Here is a 24,081-nt window from a genome sequence, read left to right as displayed (position 1 = left end):
GGAAGGGAACAAGATAACAGCTGTCCACTTCTAAAGGCCTTGTAGGTTTCGTTCTCTGGCATCATTAACATTAGCAGAGTAATACAATAGTAATAACCTTGCTAGGCCTAATTAATTTTTCTCTGCTTTCTTTATCTCATATTAATGAGTTTTCATAAAAATAAGAGAAGATTTTAATTCTTTTTTTCCCTCACATTATCAATTTGGGACACTGGCCATTCCAGTGATGGCTGTCATTGAGTCAGGAATCTTGTTTTCAAGATTAAAATTTTATCATTTGTATGTAGATCATTAGAATACAAAATGCCCTCCCCCACTTTTGCCATTTTTGCTAGAATTGGTGTCAGAATAGATTCAGTTAGGAGCAAAGTTCAGACACACATGTTGATTCAGGGATCAGAGTCCAACAGGTAAAAGGCTAGAACTACCGTAACAAATCAATGCTGTTTTATTTTTATGTTGTGTTTAACTAAAGGACATTCTGTATTGACAGGCCACATTTGTGCCATTTCTTTTTTAGACTAATAATCATTATTGGAGAGGAGTTGTCTGCTAATGTAACTACTTTGTGAGTTATAGTGTTATTGTCTGATAATTTTGCAGTATTTTTAAATTTTTAGTTGACTAATACAGGTGATTTATTTGAAACATATCTATTTTGTCATCTTTAATAAAATGTCTTTATTGTTTTTACTGATTTTGAAGGTAATTCATGCTCATTGTTTAAAATACAAACAATTTGAAAATGTTTAAAATAGAAAGTAAAAGTATTCCAGGCCCACAGGTAATATAATCAGTTAAATTTGGTTGGCTTTTGCAAACTTACAATACGTACATAAAATTACATGTATGTATATAATGTGCATATGTTTTTAACATATCTATTATACTATGCATACTTTTTGTAACTTTTTAAAAATTTGATATAGAATGGACATTTTTCTATTGCAGTACATACAGATATGCTAATGTTTTTAAACAGCTGTATAGTATTTATTTAACCAGTCCTTAATCCCTAATTGGTGGGGAATTAGGTTTTTTGTTGTTGTTGTTACACAGTGTGCATCTTTGTACATATGTATCAGAGGTGCTTATTTATGTATGTAAGTAATCAAATTCCTAAAAGCAGCATTGCTGGTCAAAGGGTATGCGTTTTAAACTGATCTATATTGCCAGATTTTTCTCCAGAAAAAGGTTTACAGAATTTTCACTCCCAGCAATGTGTGAGAATGCCAGTTTCTTCCCTGAAACAGGCTTCTTCTCATTATGTAATCAGCATTGGTTTTTTAAAATGTCTGACAATTTTTTTTAAAATAATTTAACTAGCTGGTCTTACATACTAGCTCAGTTCTTAAGGTACTAATCCTAATGTAAACATGTTCTCTACAAATGTAAATCTTAACTTGCGTGTCTTCTGTGTAACCAAGAAAAAGAAGAAACTAGATCAGAGACAACTATATTGCAAGAGATAATTGACTTACAAGAGTTAATATTGGAATTGCTACTTTAACTCAGTGTAACTTAGAGAAGTTTCGATGAGACTTAAAATCCTTGGCCTTTTTGCTGAGATTCTTTGGTAACCCTTGGCTTATTTATATATGTTTTAAAAGAATTTATTGTACCTGTGAGAGTGAATTAAATTTCTAGAGAGTCATAAAAGTTGAAGCTGAGTTAAATAAAAAGTTAATTGTATTGGCGAATAATTCAAAATGTGCTTTAAGTATAATAGGTTTTTAAAAATCATCTTTTTTAAATGAACAGGAAACTCTGATGAGGAAGAAAGTGCTTCAGAATCTGAACTTTGGAAGGGTCCACTACCAGAGACAGATGAAAAATCACAGTAAGTGCTGATATTAATAGAGAATATGTACCTTTTCAATCAGTTTAGGAAGCTATAACCACAGCTTTATTAATGGAAAAATACAACATCATGGTGATCTATTTAATGCCAAGGACTGCCTAGCCTGGTAAGATTAGAGCTTATTCCCAGCCATTGTCATAAGCAGCCAACACATCCAGCTTCCTCCTGGTAAATAAATCTTTCATCAGTTCACTTTAACAGATGAACCTCTGGTCCTTGCTTGGATTTCTTCAGAGATGGCTGTTTCCTAAGCTTCCAGAGAAGCCTATTCCATCATACTGTGATTATCATAAACCTATGCAAGGGAATCCCTTGCATGGGAAGTACACTTCTATACTGCTATCCCACTGGTCTTTTAAAAAGTAAAATAATAATATTTACTGTTACAAATACATAATATATTTACTATGCTCAGTGTAGTAAAAAAACTACAGCCTAAGGAGATTTACCCAATTCCCCTTAGTTATTCCCCAATATAACTTAGGCTTACATTTTTCCTTAAAAATAGTTTCTTTTTTATTCACTTCTTGAGCAGACTATAATTTAAAATGAGAATGAACAGAGAAGTTATAAAGTAAGCCCACAAAGTAAAGAGAAGCAATGACATTTCACAAGTATTTCAAAGCAAAATTTTAGGTAATACATTTAGGGAGAGGTGCCACCATATGAAATATTTTTATTTTAATCAATCTGGGTATAGTTATGATTATTCTAGAAACTAAGAATTATTTGATGGCTGAATCATGGCAATATATTGATATATAGCAGAATCAGCCAATATGTTGACTTAAAGTATTTTATTTTTATTAATCTCATATAATGTATCATGTAGTAATTTTTTTACTCTATTGATCTTAAGTATGCTTTTTTTTTTAAATAGGGAAGAAGAATTTGATGAGTATTTTCAGGATTTGTTTCTATGAGACGAGAGAGAGAAGCCTCCGCTCCTTAATGTGAAACTTCATGAAGTTTTAAACTTCATGCAATTTGAAATTCCATATAAGTTTTTATCTGCAAGTTACAGCTTGTGTGGTTTGTCTTTGGAAATAAAAATCCAGGTTCTCTCAGAATGTCAGAGGCTTTGGAAGTTCATTAGTTCAATTAAAGACTTTCCTGTCCTTTAAATATCTTTTCAATTGCTTATCTACAATTCTGTTTTATTTGTAGCTCCTAGAGGATAGAGCTGGACAGATTCCATTGTTCCTACATTTTGTAGGTTTTTTTTCACTGCCTTCATTATGTATCTTCTCTTGCCTTCATTATTTTATTTTATTATTTCTTCTTTTTCTCTTTTTTAGAGCCACCAATACTGGATTTGTTTGTTTTTCATTTTTTTCTTTTGTGGAAACGGAGTCCTCCTGTGTTGCCCAGGCTGGTATTCAAACTCCTGGCCTTATGCATTCCTCCCACCCTGGCCTCCCAGAGTGCTGGGATTACAGGTGTGAGCCACCATGCTCTGCCAATTATTTTAAATTACTAGGATTAAAGTATATTATGTATGTCTTTAACTTCTTTCTTTCCCATTGATAAACTGGCACCCTTCTTTTAAGTACCTGCTCTCCCATTACCACCTATTTCCAGCTGCTTTTTGAGGTTTTTTGCTTGCCTGTCTCTTGCTTCCTTCTTAACCTCTACCACTTAAGAGAGTTTGTTATAATCAAATTTGACTTCCTAGCCTGTGGATAATTTACTATTAAGTAAATTATTACCACAGGGAGCCAGTGAGGTCCCAGTAGTCTAAAACAGTTCATGTGTTCACAAAAATTGCCTCCCCGGCAGAGATTATGCAGTAAGATAATTTAACTGAATAATACTATGTGCATGTATCTTGCCTCAGATATACTCATGCAAATATGAATATACCTCTGATATGGTTTGGCTCTGTGTCCCCACCCAAATCTCATCTTGAATGTGTACTCCCATAATTCCCACATTTTATAGGAGGGATCCAGTGAGAGATAATTTGAATCAAGGGGGCGGTTTCCCCCATATTGTTCTTGTGGTAGTGAATAAGTCTCACAAGATCTGATGGTTTTATCAGGGGCTTCTGCTTTTGCATCCTTCTCATTTTCTTTTGCTGCTGCCATGTAAGAAGTGCCTTTTGCCTCCCACCATGATTCTGAGGCTTTCCCAGCCATGTGGAACTGTAAGTCCAATTAAACCTCTTTTTCTTCCCCAGTCTCTGGTATGTCTTTATCAGCAGTGTGAAAATGGACTAATAGAACTTCTATGCAGAAATATAAAATGTAACTTCTTAACATAAGGTCCTAGTCGCAAGGGTCTATGGAGGTGCTTCAGGAGATCCAAGCCTTTTTAGAATCTGTGCAAACTTCTGTGTATGTTTTTTGGAGGAAAAGTCCATAAATTTCAAATTTTCAAAAATCAGATTTTCAAAAGGATTTATTGATTTCTGAAAACTAGCAAAGATCTGCTTTTATAAAGAGCAAATAGATGGATAGATATAGGAGAAGATGCTTGACTTGATGAATAAGAGAAAGGACATATAGAAAATGAACTGAACATAAGCAAGTATTTTATTGAAGATATACTATTTTAAATAACATTTAAACACGGAATGATTGGCAATAAACTGCAAAATGAGTAATTTGGTATCATTTTAAAATGGTTATTATCAGAGATTTTCCTTTTATTAAACAGTTATTCATTAATTCCACAAATATTTATCAGGCTTCTATTATATGTGAGGCACTGAGCTGGGCATGGCTGTAAAGGAACCATCTAGGAAGTAATTATGCAATCATTTCTGAACCTGTTTCAGAAAAGTAAATCAGTGTTGGGTTTATCAGTGTTTAACATTGTTTGATAGTCCCCTCACTTCTTGAATAAATTGTTTTTTTTCACCTCACTACTTGTAGTGTGTAAAAATGAATCTGTATTTCCGGTGAAAAAGTGTTTGAAATGTCCAGCCGCAAGACTGATATTAGTAGTAGAATATATGCAGTTAAACATTCTTATGGTAAAAATATGTCCATTGTTTAGTGGTTGTCAGAAAGTAAAATTCCTGCAAAATTAAAATTAGGAATTTAACTAGGAAGAATATCTAAAGACCCTTTAAAAATAGATCAGTGTATTTGGTATTTCAAGTAGATTTATGACATCAGGCTCATTTATAAATTTATATAAAATCACAATACTTAATCCATGCATACACAGTGACAGATAATGGGAGTTATGTTTTTAAGGAGTCTTGAAAAGGCCTCTAATATGATGAGTTTAAAAAGTAATTCTCCTACACACCTATCTCAAACTTTGCTATAGTGCGGTCAGTGGTGGTCAGCAGACCACTGGTCTGGGGGTGTTGAAGTTAGGCCTTCTTATACTTGCTCTTATGCAGAGTTCATGTATTTGGCAGACCTTCAGTGGTGGACATCTCTACCCTCAATACAATTTCTGGTGACTAAGGAGGGGAAGTTGTTTGAGCTGACTGATGTTTTGGGGTCTAAAATTACATAGGGCTAAAGGAATAACGTTTCTTACGTGGTTTTTAAAATAATAGTGCTTCTGGAAGTGGAATTTCAAAATTATTTTAAGCAATGGAAATAAGGGAGCATGCATCACTTAGCTAAGTTGATTACTTTAATAAACAATACTCATTTGAGTGTACATATGACTTACTGTCATACCTTATTTATATCTGTTTGTTGTAACATTTATTCACATAGTATTCATTCATATTACTGAGTGCCTACCTTGTGCCAGGCACTGCTCTAGGTGCCGAGATAGAGCTGTGAACAAAACAGACAAAATAGACAAAATCTTTCCTCATAAATTTTACATTCTAATGTGAGAGAAGCAGTCTGACAATTCTAAGTACCTAACTTATAAAAATAAATGGCGATTCATTTCTTGGCTGCTCAAAATTGAACATTATCTTGTCTATTACAAAATATATAGGTTCATTGATGTTCAATTCTTTAGACTGTAGATAGCTTGTGACAAAAAAATTCTATGATAAAATATATGGCATAACTATATTATTCTATTTTCTAATTTTATCTATGATTATAGATAAGTAAAAGAAGAAATCTTAAATTTCTCGAATATCCAGACAGACATATACCATGCAGTCGAAGTAGTTGATTGCCCTTAGTTTGTCTTAACAATTTAATATTTAGAATGCCTGGTAGGTCTATTAATCATTTTTAGAAAGTCATCTTGGTTGAAGTTTTTCTGTACTATTTTTGATAAGGTTCTTGCATAATCCAATCACATGCTTCTTAACGCATAATATTCATTAGCTGCTTTAACTTGCATTATGATTATCCAGTTAGAATCTTGTGCATTGATAATCTTTTTAATGAAAAGAATAGTTCTGAACTGTAAAAAATATTCTTAGTTACACCCAAAATAATTGATTTCAAACTTTGAAGGAGGAGTGTAGGTCAAAGGCATAGTTTTAATAAATATTGCCAAAAAATAGTTTGGTCTTCATCATTCTATTATCAAGGGTAAAAGTAGAGAAAAGAGATAAGCATTTCAGATGGAATGACGTTGAATAAAATGACATCATTATTTTCTATATCATATTTACAACACTATACATTCTATACTGCGTTTACTCTTTTATTAAGATGTTGAGAGATTTTAGTTCGGGGAGTGGCTTGAGGTATGAATCACAGTTACGAATGTTATGGGTGAATTGTGTCTCCCCCACCCCTCACCCATTTCATATATTTAAGCCCCAATCCCCAGTACCTCAGAATGTGACTGTATTTGGAGATAAGGCCATTAACGAGGTAATTAAGACTAAAATGAGGTCACATGGGTAGGCCCTAATCCAGTCCTACTGGAGTCCTTATAAGAAAAGGAGATTAGGACACAGACACACAGAGGGAAGACCATGTGAAGACACAGGGAGAAGATGGCCATCTGCAAACCAAGTTGAGAGGCCTCCCAAGAAACCAACCCTGCCAACTCCTTGATCTTGAACTTCCAGCCCCCAGGACTTTGAGAAAATACATTTCTATTGGTTAAGCACCCAGTCTGTGGTACTTTGTTATAGCAGCCTTAGCAAATAAATACAATTAATGTTTTAAAAAAGAATTTGTGACTAGTTTCAGGATTGCATATTTTTTAATTTAAAATAAATTGGCACCAAAAATGTACCTATTTTTGTCATATTTTGCACTTTTGTTGAACTTTATTTTGCCCCTGGGATTTTTGGGCTAGCAATATATATTTTCTTCATAGTCACAGGGTAGTTTTTCTGAAGATCCTGTTACGTGATGATTTGTTGAAGTTCTTTTGAATGTTTTCTGGTTTTCTTCAAAGGTAAAATGATATTTGAAGTTTAGACCAGTTAGATAATATTACAACATTAAACATGTTTTGGACTTTTTGTCATCACCACCTCCTGAATCTTCAGCAGCTAGTAAAATCAAGGAAAGCAATATTATTAGGAGTTAGTGGATATACAGTGTTTTTATTCTAACATTCCCATGATAGTAGTGTCAACTTTGTAGACTAATTAGTCATTTTAACCTAGCAAGTACTGTGGGTTTGACCATGTAAAAACTTGAATTAATATTCAGAGTTGGTCCATTCAAAAAATAAAATCTGGGTTAGGTGCAGTGGCTCCTGCCTGTAATCCCAGCACTTTGGGAGGCTGAGGCGGGTGGATCCCTTGAGATTAGGAGTGCAAGACCAGCCTGGTCAATATGGTGAAACCCTGTCTCTACTAAAAATATAAAAATTAGCTGAGTGTGGTGGCATGTGCCTGTAATCCCAGCTACTCAGGAGGCTGAGGTGGGAGAATCGCTTGAATCTGGGAGGCACAGGTTGCAATGAACTGAGATCATGCCATTGCACTCCAGCCTGGGCGACAGAGTGAGTGAGACTCCGTCTCAAAAAAATAAATTAAATAAATAAAAAACAGAATCTGATCAATGGTTGGCCAGTTAACATCTTAGTTTCTCACTGAGACAATGCAGTCTGGAAATCTGAGCTTGATGCACAAAGCTCCATGCCTGGTGATAGAAAATAATGATCTTAGTCCACAAAGAATTCTCTATGTAGTAGCAAAAAAACTCAGAAGTAAATTTTTGTGCAAATAAAATACAGATCCATATCCAATGTCACTTAAAGGACCTGATCATCTCTTCATAATAAAGTTGAGATAAAGGTTAAATCTAATAGTACTAAGAAATACCCTCACTTTTCACTTGCTTGGTAAAAATCACTTATTGTTTTGAAATGCAAATCATATCTTACCTTAAATCTCTCAAATGACCCATGAACATTTTTAGCCCACCTTCAAGGCAATACAGTATCTGGCAGCTACCTGCACTACCAGCTTCATATGTACTTCGCACTCTTTACTCTCTAGACTCCAGCTATATCAGCTTAAAAATTTTTCAATTGCACCAAGCTTATTCCTACTCCAAGCCTTTGTACATATTTTCTTACTCTTCCTCCCCAATGCCTGCTTTCTGTGGTTAGCGTAAGCATTCTTCAGGAAAGCCTTCTCCATGGCCCATGTGCACACTAGTGCCTTCTTCGAGATCGTTAATTGTGCATTGGTTCACAATGTTTAGTTCCCCCACCAAATGGTAAATTGTTCAAGATAAAGGATCCCATCTTTCCCCAGGGCCTGCCTAACACCGGGCTTTATACAGAGAAGACATCTGATAAATACATAAGTGAATGGATATCAAGGAGTCAAAAACTCCTGCTTTTATTCTGAAGGACATCCTTAACTTTGTTAAGAAAAATATTTTCTCCTATGAATTATTTAAAATTTCACTAAATGCAATAGAGCCACCTAAAAGGAACATGTCAGGGCCTTTCCACATAGAGATGATTTCTTTGTTAAGCAATAACAATTGCTTACAAAACCTTCAGAGTGATAAACTTTCAAGACAGAAATTAGCATTCCACTTTCAAAATGATGTTTGGGCCATCTGATGAACTAATAGTTAATCCTAAGCATTTTAAGAATCCAAAAACAACATTAAACTTGACAAAGTGACTTTAGGAATAGAAATTTCATGCCAGAAAAAAAATGGCACAGGAATCTCATGCCAGAAAAACATCTCCCAATGAGACATTTGGGAGACCGGCAATTTCAGCCTTACTCTACATGTAGGGCTTCCTTAAGCTGAAGATCTGTAAAACCACCTCATTACATGGAGAAGAATATTAAACTCAGCGAGGTTAAGCAAGCTGCCCAAGGTCTCACAGCTAATGCATAATGTTGGGACAAAAACTTTTTTCTCACCTAACTCTAATCCCCCAGATTCTGTAGTTTACATATTATCCCTAAGCACCCAGTGTTCTGCAGAGGAGCCACCTTCTAGCAAGATGAAGAAGCCTAGCTCCAACCTCTACTTCAACTGGACCGGTCAATTCGATCTGGAGTTATACATAAGATGTTGTCTGTGGCAGGGCCAGGGGGACCTGAAAACCACTAATCGGCCTGTTAAAATGATCAGTCTGCACCAGTAAAGCAGGTTTTCTGTTTGTGGTGACTCTTTATGGCTTTGTCACATGCCATTAAGCTCAGCCTAGCTTCTGGCTACATTACAGGGAGCAAAAACAGAGCCCATCTAACCTTTTTCGGCTCCTCCTTCTTGCTTTTTTGCCTCCTCTTCAATGACCTTCATCTTTGCATCATACTCATCAGCTAGTGATTTCCATTCTACTCTGTTATTCTGAAGACCACTCAGCATAGGTGTGATTTCTTTGTGAAACCGTGAGAACTCCTAAAAGGAATTTTAGGTCAGAAACTACATAAATCATACAGTTAATTTTCAGGATCTTTCATATGCAGAGAGTGAGCTGTAAGGAATTGTTACAGCACTCAGAGCTGCTAGGATAAGTTTAACCACGGGCCTATGAAGTTTGGGAAAGAGACACGTGCTGTCTTTACTGCCTGCCTAAGGAAGTGTTCAGTTCGCTCACATCTGAGTTCCCTCCTTTTATTCCAGCCCTGAATGAGATTAGGGTAAAACCTCAAACTGCTTTGGAGAAACAGTGATACCCCAATGGCTTTCCGTATGGGTGACTTCTAAATTTTGGTGACAGTTTGAAAGAAAATTTCTCATCCAAATGTTTATGTATTTAATTCAAATAATTTGCTTACTTACCTTATATACAAAAGTACAAACAAAATCAATAAATCCAACTTGAAGTTTAGGTAATTCATCTCTTTTGTTTCTGTCCATCATAGGCTAGAAAGAGAAATAAATCCTTTAAGACAGGTTTCTAAGATGTATGAACAAAACAGACTGATTTGTCCTGATAACTTTTTTTTTTTTTTTTTTTTTTTTGAGGCAGAGTCTCACTCTGTCTCCAGTCTGGGTGCAGTGCCACAATCTCGGCTCACTGCAGCCTTCGCCTTCTGAGTTTAAGTGATTCTCCTGTCTCAGCCTCCCGAGTGGCTGGGACTACAGGCATGCACCACCATGACCAGCTAATTTTTGTATTTTTAGTAGAAACGGGGTTACACCATGTTGGTCAGGATGGTCTCGATCTTTTGACCTCGTGATCTGCCCACCTCAGCCTCCCAAAGTGCTGGGATTACAGGTGTGAGCCACCGCGCCCGGCCTGTCCTGATAACTTTTAATAAGTAATACATTTTTATGTCAAGGTCTTACAATGGGTTGTTGCTGCAACACTGTTCTCTCCAGATCTCCTTGTTCCCAAAATTCATTTGCAACCATAAGTGCTACCTGCAAATGAGAAAGGCTTGGTTCACTAAATCCACTTATGAATAGAGAACTTGCATTTTATTAGTACAAGTGACATTTAAGGATCGAGTTTACAGTCAATGTTTGAGGTGCTATCAAACCGTATGCTCTTAACTTTTAAAAAGAGGTCATTTACAGATTATATTGAAATGCGAAAGGGGAGCTTTTTCTTCCTACTTCAGTGTTCTAGGCTTATTCTAGGAGTATCTATCTCCCATTTACGATTGCCACCACTTCTCACCAACGAAAAGGAGAAATAGGAGGATTAAATATTATGCTTCAAGTTCTAACACTTCGCCGGTTGTTCTTTGTCCTGTCTATCTGTTAGCATCTAGCATATGTCTGTGAATGCACATGTGACATACACCCATTAGTATGTAGCTTTACCTAATTACAGTGTGAGGATATTCCAGCATTAATTTATATCACTAAAAAAAAACATTTATCAAGTTCATTGAACACCTGCTAGCTGCCTTTACATTGGCATGAGCCAGGCTTGCCAAGAGGAATAAGGGGTGATCTTTTTCTTTAAAATGTTCAGAGTCTAGCGAAGACAGTCATGTATACAGTGTGGTAAGTGCTGTAACAATAATAGTGTAAGTGCTATGGGTCAGGGAGAAGGGAGTAAAGATAAGTTTCATGAAGGAAGGAGGTGGCATTTATGTTGTATTGTGAAGAACAAGAGTAATTTTCCAGGAAAAGAGGAGGGGAAGAATATTTGCCGAGATAAAATGGAACGTACAAAGCTTCTGTGAGTGCAGGCTTAGAGTGTGAAGCAATGACATGGGAGAAGGTGATGGGAATTGATGCTGGGAGTGTGAGTTGAGGACAGGCAGTGACAGGCCATGTAAATTTTGCCAGGAAGCTTGAATTTGATTCTCTAGGCCAGTGCTGTTTACTCTTGGAGTCTAGGGTTCCCCTGAAGTGCTCTAGGGCCCAAGAAGGTGGAGACCAAGAGAGATGAAAGCTAAAGTAGCTTTGCTTTTTTCTCTTTTATAAAGTGATCTTTGGGCAAGTTTTGTTGGGAGAAAATAGACTTTACTTCTTTGGGAAAGAAGTTGGAAACCTCTGGCAATGGGGAGTATGAGCCTTTTAAGGAGTAGAATGGCTGAGTTGAGCTCTGTGTAGAGACATCCTGGCAGCAAGTCAGAGGATGACTTGTGGAGTTGATGTGAGCATCTATTAGGAGGCTGCTACCATAGTTCTGATAAAAGTCAGAACTGAGGTACTAGCGAGGCTGATATAAATGATTTTGAAATGAGGGAGATAAGCTCAAGCAGGACCCCAGGTTTCTAGCTTGGGTGACCTCATCGATAAAGAACAGAGGAAGAAGAGCAGGCATGTCGAGGTGGAAGGAGAGGAAGCATTTGGTTTTGGACTTGATGGTGACGGAGTTCAGGACACCCTGCCCCCAAATATTTTAAGGTGACGGAATTTGAGGAAACTAAAGCAGCAGGAAGATCAGTCTCACCTTCCCCCGACCTTCTCCCCTGAAGTAGGTCATAAAACCAGGTAAGGATTTTCTGACCTTCCCCTGAAGCAGATCATAAGACCTTCATTCAAGAGGTGCCCTCCCTATTCCTGGAGGAAAGGAGCCAGAGACACAAAGATGCCAAGAAGAATCTGAACAAATCGGCCTTGCTAAGCTGCCTCACGATTAGATCATACCCTCTTTGTTGAATTCTATTTCTCCATGACTATCTAATTCATCCAACCTAGCATAAAACATACAAGTTTAACTGTTTCTTAGGGTCTTTGTTTCCTCACGAAGGCTCCTGTATTACATGTAAAACAAATAAACGTGTACGCTTTTCTCTTGTTAATCTGTCTTTTGTTATAGGGGCCTCAGTCATGAAGCTAGGATGGGTGAGAAATAGATATTTTTTCTCCCCTACACTGAGTTCTAATTATTCTATCTTTTTAAAAAGATACAACCCACTTTTATAGTTAAACCCATTTAATTCTGGGCTCTCTTCTGCTTAGGGGTTTCCCTAGAAATTACTGGAGGAAAAAGGAAGGTTTTTTCATCCAATTAGTAAGAAAGCAAGTGGTAGACTAGTGCCTCCCCAAGGTGGGGGAAGAACTTCAGTGGAAGGCAACCTTAGACATCATCTCACAGTCAGTGCCTTCTTATAATTCACAGCACATTGAAGAAGAGACTATAGGAGCAAAAACACCCTTGATAGAGGAAAACACTAACGATGCATCCTGATCTTGTTCTGACTTACCTCATTGATATAGTTTGGCTATGTCCCCACACAAATCTCATCTTGAATTGTAGTTCCCATAATTCCCAATTCATGGGAGTGACCCAGTGGGAGGTAATTGGATCATGGGGACAAATCTTTCCCGTGCTGTTCTAGTGATATTAAGTAAGTCTCACAAGATCTGATGGTTTTATAAAGGGGAGTTCCCCTGCACACGCTCTCTCTTGCCTGCCACCACATAAGACATCCCTTTGCTCTTCCTTCATCTTCCACCATGATTGTGAGGCCTCCCCAGCCATGTGGAACTGTGAGTTCATTAAACCTCTTTCCTTTATAAATTACCCAGTCTCGGGTATGTCTTTATTAGCAGCAGCATGAGAACAGGCTAATACACTCCTCTATTTAAAAACTCAGACATTTCTTGGATAATTTTATATAAATTATTTACAGTGTTTCAATGTTAAAGAATTCTTTCAAGAAAGAATTCTCCTTCCAAAGTTCCTTCTATTTGCTTTATTCTAGGGCCTAATCAAATTGCCTACTGTCTCACTAATATTTGTAATTTTTCAGAATTCTGAGGTTGCCTGAGATCTTTAGGTGGACATTTACATGGGACCTAGGCAGTACCTGACAGTGTGACAGAAAAGAAAACTTAACTGGACTCACCTGACTTTGCACCTCCCAGGGCTTGGTAATAGCAGACAAGTCACATGCCGTCATCATCATTGCCCTTAGGAAGAAAACAAAAAATTTTAAAATAGAAATAAGTACAAAATAAGTTATTTTTACAAAAAACAAGAGAGAAATACAATTTCAACTACCTACATGATAATCTCTTTCTTGGTTGGATCAACAGTTACATATTTGATGGCTTCTTCTTCCGTTTGCATTTGTTCACAGGCATCAACAATTTTTTGAAACATGGTCCTCTTCCTAGAAAAGATACAGCTGTGAGCAACAATTTTAGCTTATGAAAAGAGAGAAAAAATATCTTAAATACATGCTTTTCAGATTTCACGTTCCCACTTTGCATTGTGATGTCCACATAGCAAAGTCTACAGGGCCAGAAAATACGAGAGCAGAGAATGGTGGTATAACTTTGGCTCAGAAAGGGTTTAAGGCAGAAAAAGCACAAACCATACAGAGAGAGAGAGAGAGAGAGAGGGAAAAACAAAACAAAACAGGTAACTTGGAATACATTACAACGAAAAAGTTACATATAAGGCCGGGTGCAGTGGCTCACATCTATAATCCCAGCACTTTGGGAGACTAAGGTGGGAGGATTGCTTGAAGCCGGGAGTTTTAAACCAGCCTGGGCAACAAAGCAAGACCCTGTCTCTTTAAAAATGAAAGTAAATACAAAATTACATATGAGAAAAGAGACCATAACCTAAAAATAAAGGCCCCAAACTATGATAAGATATCACAACACATATAGCCAACAAAAAGTTGGAACCCAAAACACACGGATGTCCAGCTGGTCTCACTACTAATCAAGAAACTACAAATTTGAACAATAAGATATTATCTCACACTCATTATATTAGCAAAATAAAATTTCAATTTGCTGAGTTCAAGAGTACTTCAGATGTGGTATTTTTCTTTTTCTTTCTTTCTTTCTTTCTTTTCTTTTTCTTTTTCTTTTTTTTTTTTTTTTTTTTTTTGAGACAGAATCTTGCTCTACCACTCAGGCTGGAGTGAAATAGCTTGATCCTAGCTCACTGGAACCTTGAACTCCTAGGCTTAAGGGATCCTCCCACTTCAGCCTACCGAGTAGGTGGGACTACAGGCATGCTCCAGCATGCCTGGCTAATTTTTTAATTTTTTTGTAGAGACAGTCTTGCTATGTTGCCCAGGCTGGTCTCAAATTCCTGGCCTCAAGTGATCCTCCTGCCTTGGCCTCCCAAAGTGCTGAGATTACAGGCATGAGCCACCTCACTCAGCTGGAACTCTTGCACACTGTGTGTGGGAGTGCTAACTGGCACAACTTCTCAGGAGTGCAGTTTTGTAATGTAGCATGAAATTGAAGACATGCAAATCCTACAGCATTGTCACTTTTACATTTCTTAGAGAAACTCTCATATATATATACAGGGACATACAAGGTAGCATTGTAGGCAATGATGAAAAATTAGAAACAATTGAAATGTCTATGAATAGAAGACTGGGTAAATTAATTATGAATATTCAACAGTTGAATACTCTATTCAGTTAAAATGGATGCATTGGAGCTCCATTTATTATCAATGATAAATCTTTGAAACACAATGTTGCATGAATAAAGCAAGTTGCAGAAAGGTATGTACAGACAGTATGATACCACCTATGGACAATTTGAAAACACACAACAGGTTGGGCGAGGTGGCTCACGCCTCTAATCCCAGCATTTTGGGAGGCCAAGGTGGGTGGATCACGAGGTCAGGAGATAGAGAGACCATCCTGGCCAACATGGTGAAACCCCATCTCTACTAAAATACAAAAAAAAAAAAAAAAAAAAAAAAAAAATTAGCCAGGCGTGGTGACGTGTGCCTGTAGTCCTAGCTACTCTGGAGGCTGAGGCAGAAGAATCACTTGAACCCAGGAGGCAGAGATTACAGTGAGCCGAGATTGCGCCACTGCACTCCAGCCTGGTGACAGAGTGAGACTCCGTCGCAAAAAAACCAAGAAACCAAACAAAAAAAACAACACACAACAATACCATATAAAAACATGGATGGAAATTATGAATACACATCAACGTCAGACGGTGATATCTTTGTGGAAGAAGGGAAGGGATTTTTCATAGTGGAGTAGGGGTGGAATACCTCAATTGCATCACTAGTTTTTTTCTCCTTATAAAGCAAAATCTGAGGCAAATATGGCAAAATTTCGCATTTGTTAAATTTAGGCTATAGATATTTGGATATCCATTTTATTATTCTTAGTATTTGTCTTCACATTGAACTATTTAATAATTAAATATTCAGGCCCAGTGCAACGGCTCACACCTGTAATCCCAGCACTTTGGGAGGGCCAGGTGGGCAGATCAGTTGAGGTCGGGAGTTCAAGACCAGCCTGGCCAACATGGTGAAACCCATCTCTACTAAAAATATAAAAATTAGCCAGATGTGGTGGTGGGAGACTGAAGTCCCAGCTACTCAGGAGGCTGAGGCAGGAGAATCGCTTGAACCTTGGAGGCCGAGATTGCAGTGACCCGAGGTTGTGCCACTGCACTCCAGCCCAGGTGACAGAGTGAGACCTGTATAATAATACATATAATAATAATAATAAATAATAAATAAATATTTAGTGAAGGATCAGAAAGGCATAATTTGACAATGCCCAAGCCACTGAATATTTCCATCCTATAACTAGTTCATCTTGTTCTAACCCATTTTCATCAAGCAACTTTATAGTTCACTTATGAGAAAATGTGGAGATACTGGGAGTATCTGGTCTCCTTGGCAATATTACTGTTGTAAATAGGCTGGCTCTCTGTTACGTATGACTCAGTTTTGTAAGTTTGGTTAATGTGTGTCAATGCCATCAAAATTGTTCAGCTCCCAGACTTTGACAGAATTAAATTTCTGAGGCTGAAACATTAAAATGCCAGATTCTGGACCATAGAGAATTCACCTGGACAAAAAGCCACCTTGAGAGGTCTCTTGGCTTCACTCTTTTGACAAGGCACAAACTTGGCTGCACATTCTGCAATTCAAACCTGTTCGGAGAGCAACCTACTTAATATTAGGAGCTTATGTTTTTAAAATATGTTCCCAGAGGTCTAGTAAATTTACTGGCAGGCATCTGTCTTGAAGATACTCTACTTGGTAATCCAAAAGGAGAGCAAATTTTGTGTGTATGTGTGTGTGTGTGTCTGTGTGTGTGTATGTGTGTGAATAAATGCCTTTTAACATTAATGCAACAGATAATTTATGGAAGGTAAAACCACACAGAGTATAGGGCATTCCACTGTGCAGAGTTATGTACTTACTTGAAATATAAAGCCAGGTCAGTTGCTATTATTGCGACCTCGAACAAATGAATAACTGTTTCAAACTGCCGCTTATTTAGGTTCTGGAAGATGTTTAAACTCTGTAAGATGAAAATTCACAATAAAATGCTATCAATAATTTGCCTCTGAACAAATGAAACTATGCTTAACAAGAAGAAAATCTAAAAGTCTTTCAACACTTTTTTGTTTGTTTTTTTTTTGTTTTCCTTCCTTTTTTTTTTTTTTTTTTGGCTTGCTTTTAGTTTTTATCTCATGGACTAAGCAAACCCCTCTACTATACTTTAAGTAAGATAATTTAATTTAAACTATAAAAATAGATACTGTTAGCCAATATTCATGTAATCAGTGTTTAACTTTTTGGAGTAAATAAATGTTTTCTTCTAGGACCATTAAAATAAATAACAATAGATTAAAAATGTGCTTGTATTAATTGAGAAGCTTTAATAAAGAATTTCTGGGAGAAGTCCAACTGTCAGACATGTTACTTTATCTACCAGGTAATTTTAGAGTGATCATAGAAACCACTGGTCTTTCAGAAATTGCAAATTACACTCATATTCGTGTATATGTAGGAAAAAATAATGAAATCCTTCCACATTATCCTGAAAATGTTTTCATGCAATTCTATTTTACCAAGACTTAACTAGACCTTTCTTCAAAGAGTTTCTCACTACATCTCTTCACATAAGGATCAGCTTCATTTCTTAGCATTCTAGAAAATGAGAATATAGGCCGAGCATGGTGGCTCATGCTTGTAGCACTTTGGGAGGCGGAGGTGGGTAGATGGCTTGAGCTCAGGAGTTCAAGACCAGCCTGGGCAACATGGTGAGACTCCTGTCTCTACTAAAAATATGGAAATACAAAAATAGCTGGGTGTGGTGGTATGTGCCTGGGGTCCCACCTACTCAGGAGGCCAAGGTGGTAGGATTGCTTAACGCTGGGGACTGGAGGTTGCAGTGAACTGAGACTGTGCCATTGCACTCCAGCTTGGGTGACAGAGAGAGACCCTGTTTCAAAAAAAAAAAAAAAGAAAGAAAGAAAGAAAGAAAGAAAGAAAGAAAGAAAGAAAGAAAGAAAGAAAGAAAGAAAATGAGTATATAAGCTGGGGGTGGTTTCTTAAAGCCCAGTTATTCCAAATAGACCATTTTAGTCATACAGGCCAAATGACAGATAGATAGTGATTTTGCCAAATGAATTTGACAGTTACAAAATACAGAAAAACTCCACTGGAAAGAAAGAGGAGATAGTCTATCAAACTATATAAAGAGAGAAGTAGCATAATGCCAAAAACAATACTGTCCTGAACACCAAATAATAACAGTAAACACTTACTTAGTTCTTACTACCTACCAGGCTCTAAGTGCTTTGTGAATATTCTTAATCTCTTCACAACAGACCCCAGCACAGAGAGGTGAAGTAACTTGCCCGAGGTTAAACAGCTAGAATGTGGCAGAACTGGTGTCTAAGCCAGTGCAGCATGGTTCCAGAGTCTGTGCTCCTAATCTCTGCACCACACTACATTACCTCTCAAGAGGGAACCCAGGTTCATTTCCTGGCTTCCCCACTTTGGCAGTGGTATAATCCTAGAGACTTCACTTAACATCTGTATTTGTTTTCTCATATGGGCATAATAACAGCTGCCCTGCCTAACTGCCTAGCACTTAGTCTATGCTCAATTAATATCTGTGGAATGCTGAATCAAATGAAATGACAACTGTGAATGCATTTTAAAACTGTAAATCGCTGTTAAAATTTATTGTTGTATCATTATTATTATTACGTAAAGTTATGAGGCTAGCTCCTGGTAGAAATAGAATTGCAAACCTAAGACCAAATATGGCTCAGTCATTTCAGAAGATTGAAATATTAGAAAGCAATAATTGGACAAGAACTCAAGTTTTAGACACTACACTATGCCTTATATAAATCTTCCCTTAAGTCATCTTTTTATAACATTTTCTAGGACAAGAAAAGTGGTGTTTTACAAAGCATATATAAGTAATAGAAGGGAAAATTGTGATTTGTTTTGTCAACATAATGAGTTCATCATAGCAACTATAGTTAAACTTTTAAAATAGCTAGAATGAAGCAATGGGTGTTGACCAGTCTAAATTACAAAAACAAAAGAGAGATTATCTGGATCAAAATCAATGTTTTTTTTTGTTTTTGTTTTTGTTTTTGTTTTTGTTTTTTTTTGAGATGGAGTCTCACTCTGTTGCCCAGGCTGGAGTGCAGTGGCACAATCTCAGCTCACTTCAGCCTCTGCCTCCTGGGTTCAAGCGATTCTCCTGCCTCAGCCTCCCAAATAGCTGGGATTACAGGCACCCACCACCATGCCCAGCTAATTTTTGTATTTTTTAGTAGAGATGGGTTTTCACCATGTTAGCCAGGCTAGTCTCAAACTCCTGACCTCAAGGGATCCGCCCATCTCGGCCTCCCAAAGTGCTGGGATTACAGGCATGAGCCACCGTGCCTGGACCCCGAATCAATTTCTTACTTGGGACATTTCACAGAAGTCTATTGTACATATCAGTCCAGAATCTCTGAATCAAATCTGGATACAGGTTATTTTCAACCTGGTCTGGATTACCAGGGAGGGGAAAAGTAAGTGGAGTCATTTTGATCCCACTTAACCTGCCCCTGATTTTGGAACAATGGTGGCCTTCCTTTTGGACTTGGGGTGATCCAGTGGCATACTGACATCAGGGAATCACTGCCTTTATTTGTTCACTGATGAACATTGCTATGTTCCCAAAGTGATGTTTATTATGTGACTCAGATACATACTTGGCAAATTAATAATATTTGAAGCCAACCTTGATTGCTATACTAGGAAAAAAAGCAGGGGGAGGGGAGGAATGTGTGAAAATGCCTTAAACTTTTAGACAAGTTAATATTTATAGCACATTAAGTCATTTAAAGAAGCAAATCAGACTGCTGAATTCAGAGAAATAATTCCTTGGGACAGAGACTTCCTCGTCTCTACCAAGTGTCAGATTGTGCAGAGTATATAATCTACAACAAATCAAATACATCAAATTTATTATGCACCAATTGTTTTAGTGCATATTGCTTAATGTAAACCTGGACACTTGTTGCTATTTAATAGACGTGAAAGAAAACGCTATATATAAAGAAATATATAGAAACATATGTGACAAATACTGTTTACTCTTATACCTTTTTCCAATCCAAAATAATAAAACAACTGTATTAAAGTTGATAGATTATCAAAAACTATCTTACTTTTCAAAATGAGTCAATACTGGATTTTTAAAAATTGATATAATGAAGAAAAAGGGTTTATAGTCACCATTTCAGTACTGCTTCTTTTGCATATAGCACTACATATCTGCATTTCATTCATACCTTTTTCTTCTCACTCATTTTCATTTTTATCTAAAAACATGTACAAGCCTCCTAATTGAAAAACTCTTTCTTAATTCTACATTCTTTTAGATTTTCTCTGTTCTCCCTTTCACACCTGAGGTTCTTGAAAGAAGAGCTTCTAATTGACTTATTAAGTTGTGGATATAGATTCATATAAAAGATCCCATTCCAGTTTTTGTATTAGTTGCTAGAAAGCACTTGGCCAAATTTGTGGCCTGTGTCTGATAAACGTTTTGGCCAAATTTGTGGCCCATCTCTGATATACATTTTGGGTATGTATGGCCTTTACTATGCTCACCTCGTTTTTCTTATTTTTCCATTAGTCCTCATTTTCTTTTTCTTTAGTGTTGTATGTATTCTTCGAAGCTCCATCAAATCCTCTTTGGAACAAAGTGGGACATACACACACACAGGCACACACACACACACATGCACACACACACTTGCACACAAGTTGGGTTTTTTGTTTGTTTAGTAAGTAAACACAGACTCAGTGATTCTTTAATTAGAGCAAGAGGTCTCAAGATGTGCCCAGCGCACAGGAGAAGCAAGGAATTCCTTTCAAGACCTACTTTGACAACACAAAACAACAGCAAAAGAGGAGTTGATGGAGAAGTTATGCTGATGTACATTTGTATTGACTTCTGATATTCAATCTCCTAGACCAAAGACATTGTCATAGGTAACAAGAAGTGAAGGAGGGAAGGCAGACAGCAATGGCCAGATCCCAAATAGAAGGCCTGGAGCTTCATGGGCTTTGCTCAGTGTGAGCTTTACCAACTTCCGGAAAACAAAATCAAAGAGGTGTTGATATGGCTCTGTGTCCCCACCCAAATCTCATCTCGAATTGTAATCCCCAGGTGTTGAGGGAGGAACCTGGAAGGAGGTGATTCAATCATGGGGGCAGTTCTCCCACGCTGTTCTCATGATAGTGAGGGAGTTCTCACAAGAGTTGATGGTTTTAAGTGTGCCACTTCCTCACTCTTTCTCACACACTCTTGCCTGCCACCATGTAAGACATGCCTTGCTTCCCCTTCTCCTTCAGCCATGATTGTAAGTTTCCTGAGGCCTCCCCAGCAGTGCAGAACTGTGAGTCAATTAAACCTCTTTTCTTTATAATTACCCAGTCTCAGGTAGTAGCTTTACAGCAGTGTGAAAACAGACTAATACAGGTGTGCTCCTTAGAATTGGTGAGAGAATGTTTGAGTCAACAAATTGGAAGCTGAGGATTTCCCCAGCTCATTCCTGCCCTTCTTCCATGGTACTAGGCAGATAGTTGGCTCCACTCAGGGATGAGTAATTTTCAGAGGGGAACAAGTGCAAAACCTATGCATATAATGACCACAAGAACATAAAATAATCCATAGAGCGAGTAGAATTCCAACCAAAATACCAACAAGTTTGTGTATGTGTGTTTGTAAATTGACAAATCAATTATAAAATTTATATGAAAATGTAGAGTCAATAAGTACTGGACTCAATTAAAAGTTGAATTAAAATAAACAATAGTGGAAATTACAGAGCAAAATGTAATTTTATAAATATTGATAATGGTAAAAAAATATATCATATAAAACAGACATGTGGGAAAAAGTATACCAATTCCTTCATATTTCATAGAAGGGAGTTAGTAGATACTGTAAAGTTAACACATATAGCTTAAAAATGTCAAACATCTAAATGCTCAGCTACAACTTTTCATAATTTTTCATAGTCATTTGTTATTCATTTTAGAGGGCTCTTTAAGAGCTAACATTTCTTGTGATAAGGACACCATCATGTGAAGTTCTGCAATTCTTTCCATTTCAAAAACATTTCTTCTGTTAAATTCAAATAAAGTCAAATGCAATACCTTTTATTTAAGATAAAGGGATTCTACTTAGCAATGAAAAAAAATGAATTGACTGGGCACAGTGACTCACACCTGTAATCCCAGTGCTTTGGAAAGCCAAGGAGAGAGGATTGCTTCAGCTCAGGAGTTCAAGACCAGCCTAAGCAACACAGCAAGAATGCATTTCTACAAAAAATACAAAACATTAGCCAGGTATAGAGACTCATGTCTGTAGTCCCAGCTACTTGGGAGGCAGAGGTAGGAGGTTTGCTTGAGCCCAGGAGGTTGAGGCTGCAGACAGCTATAACAGTGCCACAGCACTCCAGTCTTGGCAACAGAGCAAGACCCCATCTCTAAAAAAAGGAATGAATCATGGATATACACAACATGAGTAATCTAAAAATTATTATTTTGCGTGAAAGAAACCAATGCAAAAGAGTGTGATTGATTGCATGATTATTCTATTATTGTGCTAATTGTGTGATTGCACTTATATAAAATCTAGAAAATGTAAACTAATCCATAGCAACTGAAAACATTTCAAAGGTTGCCGCCTAGGGCTGGGAGTGGACAGTGGGATGTGCTGTGAAGGGTCATGATATGAGCAATTACTTGGATGATAGAAGTGTTCTGCATCTTGATTGTGGTGCTGGTTTCCCAGGTATATAAAATAGTCAAAACTCATGGAATTGGGCACTCTAGAGATGCAGTTTAGGCTAGGCATGGTGGCTCACACCTGTAATCCCAGCACTTTGGGAGGCCAAGGTGGGTGGATCACCTGAGGTTGGGGGTTCGAGACCAGCCTGGCCAACATGGTGAAACCCTGCCTCTACTAAAAATACAAAAATTAACCGGGAGTGGTGGTGCATGCCTATAATCCTAGCTACTTGGGAGGCTGAGGTGTGAGAATCTCTTGAACCCAGGAGGCGGAGGTTGCAGTGAGTTGAGATCACGCCACTGTACTCCAGCCTGGGCAACAGGATGAGACTCCGTCTCAAAAATAAAATAAAATAAGAGATGCAGTTTATTGTATATATACTTCAATGAAGTTGATTAAAAACCAACTCTGGCTTAAAAAAATAGCTTGGGTAGTGGGAACACATGGAGTCCTTTCTCTCCATGCTTCCTGTGTATATCCACAGGGTGACTGCAATGAGGTTCATTAGACGTTAATGAAATATCGGTTTCTGGATGGTAGGATTTGAAGCAATTTAAGAAATATTTGTCTTTGATGTTTTCCTATCGTTTGAATTTTTATAGTGGGCTTATGTAACTTTTGCAACTATTAATGAACATTGAATACATGTATAAATATGTAATATTCCATTTGTTTTCGAGCATTGTGTTGAAGACATTTTGTGGAGACAGGTGCACTAGACAAGAAAGGAGACCTACTTCCCAGCCTCTGGCCACGGGCCCTGACTTGCTCAGCTGCTTTCATTTGCTCACGGAAAGAATCTTTTTTATTTTCCCTGACTATTAAAATGGCGATAGAACTATGAATTCTGCATAGCACACCCCAAACAGGTAGAAATGGCTTTAATTCATTCAGATCGTGGCTCTCGAGCTAGCTGAGGCCAGGGAAAGTACAGGCCGTTCTAGTCTTCAGCATGGTGCCTATGACGCCCGCAAGAGAATATTGCCAACATGTTCTTGCCTTGCTAGTGCCAGTACACAAGGTATTTGATTTCTCCTTCACATTTCTATGTGTAAAATGGGGCAGGCTGATGCGGTTGATATGAAAAAGCATAAATAAAATTATCATACGCTTTGGAAAGAGATGTTCTGAATAATAACAAGATTTTGTTATTTATGCTGAGCAATATGTTTTGTCATTTCTACAGTATATTCTAGTATTAAAATTTATACTTGTGCAAATTTGGCTAACAAGTTTTCCACTCATTCATTTGGGTTAAAGCATTGATTTCTGTCTGGTTTAGAGTACAGGCAGTTCTATTCCTCAAAGCAGTGAATCCATCTCTGCTAGGATAGAAGGACATTGCCGTTCAAAGCCTTATAATATGCAAAACAAAATGTCTGAGTAATGCCCACAGATGCTGAAATTACTGGATAAATCCCAAGGATTTCCC

At 37.3% G+C, this 24,081-nt stretch overlaps 2 protein-coding genes across 7 annotated transcripts in view; one reads left to right on the top strand and one right to left on the bottom strand.

Annotated features, from left to right (window-relative positions):
- FRA10AC1 (FRA10A associated CGG repeat 1) overlaps nt 1-4,727 on the top strand; it is a 35,077-nt gene extending 30,350 nt beyond the window's left edge. For all 6 annotated transcript variants that reach the window (NR_144635.2, NM_001347714.2, NM_145246.5 and 3 more), the window contains 2 exons: nt 1,762-1,840; nt 2,742-4,727. Coding sequence is in view for 5 of the 6 variants with exons in the window: in NM_001347714.2 (NP_001334643.1) it covers nt 1,762-1,840; nt 2,742-2,784 (122 nt within the window). In the remaining variant the exon portion in view is untranslated. The remainder of the gene's footprint in view (nt 1-1,761; nt 1,841-2,741) is intronic.
- PDE6C (phosphodiesterase 6C) overlaps nt 6,600-24,081 on the bottom strand; it is a 53,474-nt gene continuing 35,992 nt past the window's right edge. The window contains exons 16-22 of the mRNA NM_006204.4: nt 16,750-16,850; nt 13,602-13,709; nt 13,443-13,506; nt 10,477-10,551; nt 9,967-10,050; nt 9,432-9,582; nt 6,600-7,250 (exon numbers count right to left, since the gene is read on the bottom strand). Of these exons, the coding sequence (NP_006195.3) occupies nt 7,192-7,250; nt 9,432-9,582; nt 9,967-10,050; nt 10,477-10,551; nt 13,443-13,506; nt 13,602-13,709; nt 16,750-16,850 (642 nt within the window). The 3' untranslated portion in view covers nt 6,600-7,191. The remainder of the gene's footprint in view (nt 7,251-9,431; nt 9,583-9,966; nt 10,051-10,476; nt 10,552-13,442; nt 13,507-13,601; nt 13,710-16,749; nt 16,851-24,081) is intronic.

This window comes from Homo sapiens, chromosome 10 (genome assembly GCF_000001405.40).
Source record: "Homo sapiens chromosome 10, GRCh38.p14 Primary Assembly".
Lineage (NCBI taxonomy): Eukaryota > Metazoa > Chordata > Mammalia > Primates > Hominidae > Homo > Homo sapiens.
Note: the sequence above shows the minus strand (reverse complement) of the source record. Positions and strands in the feature narration are given on the sequence as shown.